Source organism: Homo sapiens, chromosome 12 (genome assembly GCF_000001405.40).
Source record: "Homo sapiens chromosome 12, GRCh38.p14 Primary Assembly".
NCBI lineage: Eukaryota > Metazoa > Chordata > Mammalia > Primates > Hominidae > Homo > Homo sapiens.
In genome coordinates this window covers 37726862-37735045 of record NC_000012.12, presented here as the reverse complement: position 1 = coordinate 37735045, position 8184 = coordinate 37726862, and the positions used below count along the sequence as shown (strand labels likewise).

The 8184-nt window shown below is 36.5% G+C and overlaps 1 annotated feature.

The window, feature by feature from the left end:
* Window positions 3965-4857: an enhancer, noted in NCBI's record as "OCT4-NANOG hESC enhancer chr12:38123991-38124883 (GRCh37/hg19 assembly coordinates)". NCBI's record gives its function as "activates a minimal SCP1, AML or CMV promoter by ChIP-STARR-seq in primed H9 embryonic stem cells {active_cell/tissue: H9 hESC(primed)}" and the evidence as "EXISTENCE:reporter gene assay evidence [ECO:0000049][PMID:30033119]".

Here is an 8184-nt window from a genome sequence, read left to right as displayed (position 1 = left end):
ACTGACAAAGCAGTGCAAATATCCATTTGCAGATTCTACAAAAAGACAGTTTCCAAACTGCTCAATCAAAAGAAAGTTTCAACCCTGTGAGGTGAATGCTGGCAACAGAAGGAAATTTCACAGAATGCTTCTGTCTAGTTTTCATATGAAGATATTACCTTTTTCACCATAGGCCTCCAAGAGCTCCAAATATCCCTTTGCAGATTCTACGGAAAGACTCTTTACAAACTGCTCAATAAAAAGAAATGTTCAACTCTGTGAGAGGAGAGCATACATCACAAAGAAGTTTCTCAGAAAGTTTCTGTTTAGTTTTTGTGTGAAGATATTCTCTGTTTCACCATAGACAGTCAAGGTCTTACAAATATCCCTTCGCAGATTCTACAAAAAGACTGTTTCCAAACTGCTCAATCAAAAGAAAGGTTCAACTCTGTGCGATGAATGCACATGTAACAAAGAAGTTTCTCTGAATGCTTCAGTCTTGTTTGTTTGTGATGATATTTCCTTTTTCACCATGGTCCTTAAACTGTTAACAAATATCCCTCTGCAGATACTACAAAAAGAATGTTTCCAAACTAGTGAATCAAAAGAAAAGTCCAACTCTGTGAGATGAAAGCACACATCACAAGGAAGTTTCTCAGAAAGTTTCTGTCTAGTTTTTATGTGAAGATATTTCATTTTTCACGGAAGGCCTCAAAGCGCTACAAATCTCCAGTTGCAGATCATACAAAAAGTCTGTTTCCAAGCTGCTCAATCTAAAGAAAGGTTCAATTCTACGAGATGAATGCCAATATCACAAAGACGTTTCTCAGAATGTTTCTGTCTAGTTTTTATGTGAAGATATTTCCGTTTTCACCATAGGACTTAAACAGCTCAGAAATATCCCTCTGCAGTTACCACAAAAAGACTGTTTCCAAACTGCTCCATCAAAAGAAACATTCAACTCTTCCAGATGAATGCACAAACCACAAAGAAGTTTCTCAGAATGCTCCTGTCTAGTTTTTATGTGAAGATATTTCCTTTTACTAGGCCTGAAAGAGCTCAAAATATCCATTTGCCCTTTCCACAGAAATACTTTTTCTAAACTGCTCAATCAAAACAAATGTTCAACTCAGTGAGAAGAAAGCACATATCACAAAAATTTCTCACTGTGCTTTGGCCTAGTTTTTATGTGGAGACATTTCCTATTTCACCATAGACCTCAGACTGCTCACAAGTATCACTGTGCAGATTCTACACAACGAGTGTTTCCAAACTGCTCAATCAAAAGACAGTTTCAACTCTGTGAGATGAATGGACACATCACAAAGAAGTTTCTCAGAATGCTTCTGTCTAGTTTTTATGTGAAGATATTTCCCATTTCAACATAGGCCTCAATGGACTCACAAATATTTCTGTGCAGATTACACAAAAAGACTGTTTCCAAATTGCTCAATCAAAAGAAAAGTTGAACTCTGAGGGATGAATGCACACATCACTAAGAAGTTTCTCAGAATGCTTCTGTCTAGTTTTTATGTGAAGGTGTTTCCTTTTTCACCATAGGCCCCAAAGCGATCTAAAAACCCATTTGCAGATACTACAAAAAGATTGTTTCCAAACTACTCAATCAAAAGAAAGTTCAACTCTGTGAGTTGAGTGCACACATCACAAAGAATTTTCTGAGAATGCTTCTGTCTAGTTTTTATGTGAACATATTTCTTTTTCCACCATAGGCCTCAAAGCGCTACAAATATCCACTTGCAGATTCTACAAAAAGAGTGTTTCAAAACTGCTCAATCAAAAGAAAACTTCAACTCTGTGAGATGAATGCACACATCACAAAGAAATTTCTCAGAATGCTTCTGTGTAGTTTTTATGTGAAGATATTTCCTTTTCAGCTTCAGCGTTAAAGCGTTCCAAATATCCATTTGCAGATACAACAAAAAGAGTGTTTCGAAACTGTTCAATCAAAAGAAAGGTTCAACTCTGTGATATGAATGCTCACATTACAAAGAAATTTCTGAGAATGCTTCTGTATAGTTTTAATATGAAGATATTTCCTTTTCCACCATAGGCCGCTAAGGATTCCAAATATCCACTTGCAGATTCTACAAAAGAGAGTTTCAAAACTGATCTATCAAAAGATAGTTTCAACTCTGTGATTTGAATGCACACATCACAAAGAAGTTTCTAAGAATGCTTCTGGGTATTTTTTAAGTAAAGACATATCCTTTTCCACTATAGGCCACAAAAGACTCTGAATATCCACTTCCAGATTCTACAAAAAGAGAGTTTCAAAACTGCTCGACGAAACATAGGTTCAACTCCTGAGATGAATACACACATCACAAAGAAGTTTCTCAGAATGCTTCCATGTAATTTGTATGTGAAGATATTTCCTTTCCCACCAAAGGCCTCAAAGCGCTTCAAATATCCAATTGTAGATTCCACGAAAAGACTGAGACAAAACTGCTCAATCAAAAGAAAGGTGGAACTCTGTGAGTTGAATGCACACATCACAAAGACGTTTGTGAGAATGCTTCTGTGTAGTTCTTATGTGAAGATATTTCCTTTTCCACAATAGGCCTCAAAGTGCCCCAAATACCCCCTTACAGATCCTACAAAAAGACTGTTTGGAAACAGCTCAATCAAAGGAAAAAATTAACTCTGTGAGATGAATTCACACATCACAAAGAACTTTCTCTGAATGCTTCTGTGTAGTTTTCATGGGAAGATATCTCCTTTTCCACCATCTGACACAAAGGGCTCTAAATAACCAATTGCAGTTTCTACAAAAAGAGGGTTTCAAAACTGTGCAATCAAAAGATACGTTCAACTCTGCGTGTTGAATGCAAACATCACAAAGAAGTTTCTCAGAATGCTTCTGTGTAGTTTTTAATTAAAGATATTTCCTTTACCATGATAGACCCCAAAGCACTCCAAATATCCACTTGCAGATTCTATGAAAAGAGTATTTCAAAACTGCTCAATCAGAAGAAAGGTTCAATTCTGTGAGATGAATGCACACAAAACAAAGAAGTTTCTGAGAATGCTTCTGTGTAGTTTTTATGTGAAGATATTTCCTTTTCCACAATAGGCCACAAAGCACTCCAAATATCCACATGCAGATTCTATAAAAAGAGTGTTTCAAAAATGCTCAATGAAATGAAAGTTTCAACTCTGTGACACGAATGCACACATCACAAAGTAGTTTCTCAGAAAGCTTCTGGGTAGTTTTTATGGGAAGATATTTCTTTTTCCACCATCGGCCACAAATGGCTACAAATAACGACTTGCAGATTCTACAAAAAGAGAGTTTCAAAACTCCTCTACCAAAGATAGGTTCAGGTCTGTGAGTTGAAGGCACACATCACAAAGAAGTTTCTGAGAGTGCTTCTGTGTGGTTTTTATGTGAAGAGATTTCCTTTTCTGCAACAGGCCTCAAAGCTCTCCAAATACCCACTTGCAGATTCTACAAAAAGAGTGTTTCAAAACTGCTCAATCAAATGAAATATTCAACTCTGTGAGATGAATGCACACATCACAAAGAAGTTTGTGAGAATGCTTCTGTGTAGTTTTTAAGTGAAGATATTTCCTTTTCCACAATAGGCCTCAAAGCGCCCCAAATATCCCCTTGCAGAATCTACAAAAAGTGTTTCAAACCTGGTCCATCAAATGAAATATTTAAGTCTGTGAGACGAATTCACACATCACAGAGAACTTTCACTGAATGCTTCTGTGTAGTTTTCATGGGAAAATATTTTCTTTTCCAACATAGGCCACAAAGGGCTCCAAATAACCACTTGCAGATTCTACAAAAAGTGAGTTTCAAAACTGCTCTATCAAAAGCCAGGTTCAACTCTGCCAGTTGAATACACATATCACAAAGAAGTTTCTCAAAATGCTTCTGTGTAGTTTTTATGTGGAGATATTACCTTTTCCACCAATGGCCTCAAAGTGCTCCAAATATCCACTTGCAGATTATATGAAAAGTGTGTATCAAAGCTGCTCAGTCAAAACAAAATTTCAACTCTGTGGGATGAATGCAAACATTGCAAAGAAGTTTCTCAGAATGCTTCTGAGTAGTTTTTATGTGAAAATATGTCCTTTTCCTCGTTAGGCCTCAAATCGCTCCAAATATCCACTTGCAGATTCTACAAAAAGAGAGTTTCACTACTGCTCCATCAAAAGATAGGTTCAACTCTGTGAGATGAATGCACACATCACAAAGAAGTTTCTCAGAATGCTTCTGTGTAGTTTTTATGTGAAGATATTTCCTTTTCCACCATAGGTCTCAATGTGCTCCAAATATCCTCTTGCAGATTCAGAAAAAGAGTGTTTCCAAACTGCTCAATCAAAAGAAAGGTTCAACTCTGTGAGTTGAATGCACACATCACAAAGAAGTTTCTCAGAATGCTTCCGTGTAGTTTTTATTTGAAGATATTTCCTTTTCCACCACAGGCTTCAAACTGCTCCAAATATCTACTTGTAGATTCTACAAAAAGAGTGTCAAAATTGCTCTATCAAAAGATATGTTCAACTCTGTGAGTTGAATACACACATCATGATGAAGTTTCTCAGAATGCTTCTGTGTAGTTTTTATATGAAGATGTTTCCTTTTCCACTAAAAGCCTGCAAAGGGCTCCAAATATCCACTTGCAGATTCTACAAAAAGAGAGTTTCAAAACTGCTCTATGAAAAGATATGTTCAACTCTGCGAGTTGAATGCACGCATCACAAAGAAGTGTCTCAGAATGCTCTGTGTTGTTTTTATGTGAAGATGTTTCCTTTTCCACAATAGGCTGCAAAGTGCTCCAAATATCCACTTGCAGATTCTACAAAAAGAGAGTTTCAAACTGCTCTATGAAAAGACAGGTTCATCTCTGTGGGATGAATGCACACATCACAAAGAAGTTTCTCAGAATGCTTCTGTGTAGTTTTTATGTGAAGATATTTCCTTTTCCTCTTCAGGCCTCAAATATCTCCAGATATCCACTTGGAGATACTACAAAAAGAGTGCTCCAAAACTGCTCATTCAAAAGGAAGTTTCAACTCTGTGAGATGAATGCACACATCACAAAGAAGTTTCTGAGAATGCTACTGTGTAGTTTTTATGTGAAGATATTTCATTTTCCACAATACGCCTCAAAGCCCTCCAAATATCAACTTGCAGATTCTACGAAAATGTGTTTCAAAACTGCTCAATCAAATGAAATGTTCAACTCTGTGAAATGAATGCACTCATCACAAAGAAGTTTCTCAGAATGCTTCTCTGTAGTTTTTATGGGAAGATATAACTTTTTCCACCATCGGTCATAAAGGCCTCAAAATATCTACTAGCAGATTCTACGGAAAGAGAATTTCAAAACTGCTCTATCAAAAGATAGTTTCAACTCTGTGAGATGAATGAACAGATGACAAAGAACTTTCCAGAATGCTTCTGTGTATTTTTTATGTGAAGATATTTACATTCCCACCATAGGCCGTAAAGGGCTCCAAATATCCACATGCAGATTCTACAAAAAGAGAGTTTCAAAACTGCTCTATCAAAAGATAGATTCACCTCTGTGGGATGAATGCACACATCAGAAAGAAGGTTCTCAGAATGTTTCTGTGTAGTTTTTATGTGAAGATAGTACGTTTTCCACTATAGGTCTCAAAGCGCTCCAAATTTCTGCTTGCAGATTCTACAAAAAGATTGTTTCGAAACTGCTCAATTGAAAGAATGGGTCAATTCTGTGAGATTTATGCACACATCACTAAGAAGTTTCTCGGAATGCTTCTGTGTAATTTTTATGTGAAGATATTTCCTTTTCCACAATAGGCCTCCAAGGGCTCCAAATATCCACTTGAAGATTTACCTAAAAGAGTGTTTCCAAACTGATCAATCAAAAGAAATGTTCAGCTCTTTGAGATGAATGCACATATCACAAAATAGTTTCTCAGACTGAGTCTATGTAGTTTCTATGTGAAAATATTTCTTTTTCCACCACAGGCCTCAAAGCACACCAAATACTCCCTTGCAGATTCTATGAAAATAGTGTTTCAAAACTGCTCAATCAAAATAAAGGTTCAACTCTGTGAGATGAACGAACACATCACAAAGAAGCTTCTCAGAATACTTCTGTGTAGATTTTATGTGAAGATATTTCCTTTTCTACAATAGGCCACAAAGGGCTCCAAATAACCACTTCCAGATTCCACAAAAAGTGTGTTTCAAAACTGCTCAATCAAAAGAAGGGTTCAACTCTGTGAGATGAATGCAAACAAAACAAAATAGTTTATTAGAATGCTTCTGTGTAGTTTTTATATGAAGACAATCCTTTTCCACAATAGGCCTCAAAGCGTTCCAAATATCCACCTGCAGATTCTACAAAAAGAGTTTTTCAAAACTGCTCAATCAAATGAAAGTTTCAACTCTGTGAGGTGAAGGCACTCATCACAAAGAAGTTTCCCAGAATGCTTCATTGTAACTTTAATGGGAAGATATTTCCTTTTCCACCATTGGCCACAAAGGGTTCCAAATAAACACTTGCAGATTCTATAAAAAGAGAGTTTCAAAAATGCACTATCAAAACATAGGGTCAACTCTGCGAGTTCAATGCACACATCACAGAATAGTTCTGCAGAATGCTTCTGTGTAGTTTTTATGTGAAGATATTTCCTTTTCCACTATAGGCCTCAAAGCGCTCTAAATATGCACTTGCAGTTTCTACAAAAAGAGTGTTTCAAAACTGCTCAATCAAAAGAAAGTTTCAACTCTGTCAGATGAATGCACACATCACAAAGAAGTTTCTCAGAATGCTTCTGTGTAGTTTTTAGGTGAAGATATTTCCTTTTCCACAATAGGACTCAAACTGCTCCAAATATCCACTTGCAGATACTACAAAAAGAGTGTATCCAAATGACTCAATCAAAAGAGAATCTCAACTCTGTGAGATGAATGCACACATCACAAAGAAGTTTCTCAGAATGCATCTGTGTAGTTTTTAGGTGAAAATATTTCCTTTTTCACCATAGGCTGCAAAGGGCTCCCAATAACCACTTGCAGATACTAGAAAAAGAGAGTTTCAAAACTTTTCTATCAAAAGATAGGTTCAACTCTGTGAGATGAATTTGCACATCACAAACTAGTTTCTGAAAATGCTTCTGTGTAGTTTTTATGTGAAGTTATTTCCTTTTCTACAGTAGGGCTCAAAGCGCTCTGAATATCCACTTGCAGATTCTACAAAAAGAGTGTTACAAAACTGCTCATAAAATTAAATGTTCAACTCTGTGAGATGAATGCACACATCACAATGTAGTTTCTCAGAATGCTTATGTGTAGTTTTTATGTAAAGATATTTACTTTTCCACCATAGGCCATAAAGGGCTCCAAATAATCACATGCAGATTCTACAAAAAGAGTTTCAAAACTGGTCTATCAAAAGATAGGTTAACTTCAGTGAGATGAATGCACACATCACAAAGAAGATTCTCAGAATGCTTCTGTGTAGTTTTTATGTGAAGATATTTCCTTTTAGACAATAGACCACAAATCGCTCCAAATATCCACTTGGAGGTTCTACAAAAAGAGTGTTGCCAAACTACTCAATCAAAAGAGAGTTTCAACTCTGTGAGATGAATGCACACACCACAAAGATGTTTCTCAGAATGATTCTGTGTAGTTTTTATGTGAAGATATTTCCTTTTCCACATTAGGCCTCCAAGGGCTCCAAATATCCACTTGCAGATTCTACTAAAATAGAGTGTTCCAAACTGCTCAATCAAAAGAGTTTTAACACTGTGAGATGAATGCACACATCACAAAGAAGTTTCGGGGAGTTTTTCTGTGTAGTTTTTATGTGAAGAGATTTCCTTTTCCACCTTTGGCAACAAAGGGCTCCAAATAACCACTTGCAGACTCTACAAAAAGTGAGGTTCCAAACTGCTCTATGAAAAGATAGGTTCAGCTCTGCTAGTTGAATGTACACAATCAGAAAGAAGCTTCTCAGAATGCCTCTGTGTAGTTTTTATGTTAAGATATCTCCTTTTCTGCCATAGGCGTCAAACGGCTCCAAATATCCACTTGCAGATTCTTCCAAAAGAGTGTTTCAAAATTGCTCAATCAAAAGAAAAGTTCAACTCTTTGAGATGAATGAACACTAAACAAAGGAGATTCTGAGAATGCTTCTGTGCAGTTTTTAAGTGAAGATATTTCCTTTTCCA